Below are 602 nucleotides of genomic sequence, written 5' to 3' on the forward strand. Positions count from 1 at the left end.
CTGTAAAGGAGATGGGAAGAAAATCCTGGTGTCAGTGTCTGGAGACACACGGTAAAAAATTTCCACCTATTGGTGCTGTAGACCTAAGGTAACTTCAGAGGCACTGAGAGGCAAAAGACCAATTATTGTTGGTTATTGGTGGCAAAATATGGAAAGTAAGACTCATCTTTACTCATTGTGAGTCCAGTGAGAATGAGAGACCCTAAATCAAGTGATTGACACCATTCTGAGAGTGAAAAAAAAAAGGCTCCCTCTAGCAGGCATGATCCTCCCTAGGCTTGCTCCTGGAAAAGGGCTCAGCTTCAGGGCCTGTGACATCTTTATGAGCACTAGACCTGGAACTCCTCAGTGTATCAGGTCAACAGCAGGCATGTGCAGGCTGGTTAGGAAAGAATGTAGAGAGTCACAGAGTGCCCTGAAAGGGAGAAATAGGTTCACACAGAACTCAATGCAGTTTAAAGCATTCTACCCAGATGTCACAGATGAACCAGAGTTCCCAGAAGTTAGTTGGGAAGTTAAATAATTTCTAGGTTGGCATTTTCATCAACCAGTAAGAATCCAGCACCCAGTAACAATCAGGTTTGACCTTTGGGCACTCTTTT

The sequence above is a fragment of the Homo sapiens genome, chromosome 12 (assembly GCF_000001405.40).
Source record: "Homo sapiens chromosome 12, GRCh38.p14 Primary Assembly".
In the NCBI taxonomy this organism is placed as follows: domain Eukaryota; kingdom Metazoa; phylum Chordata; class Mammalia; order Primates; family Hominidae; genus Homo; species Homo sapiens.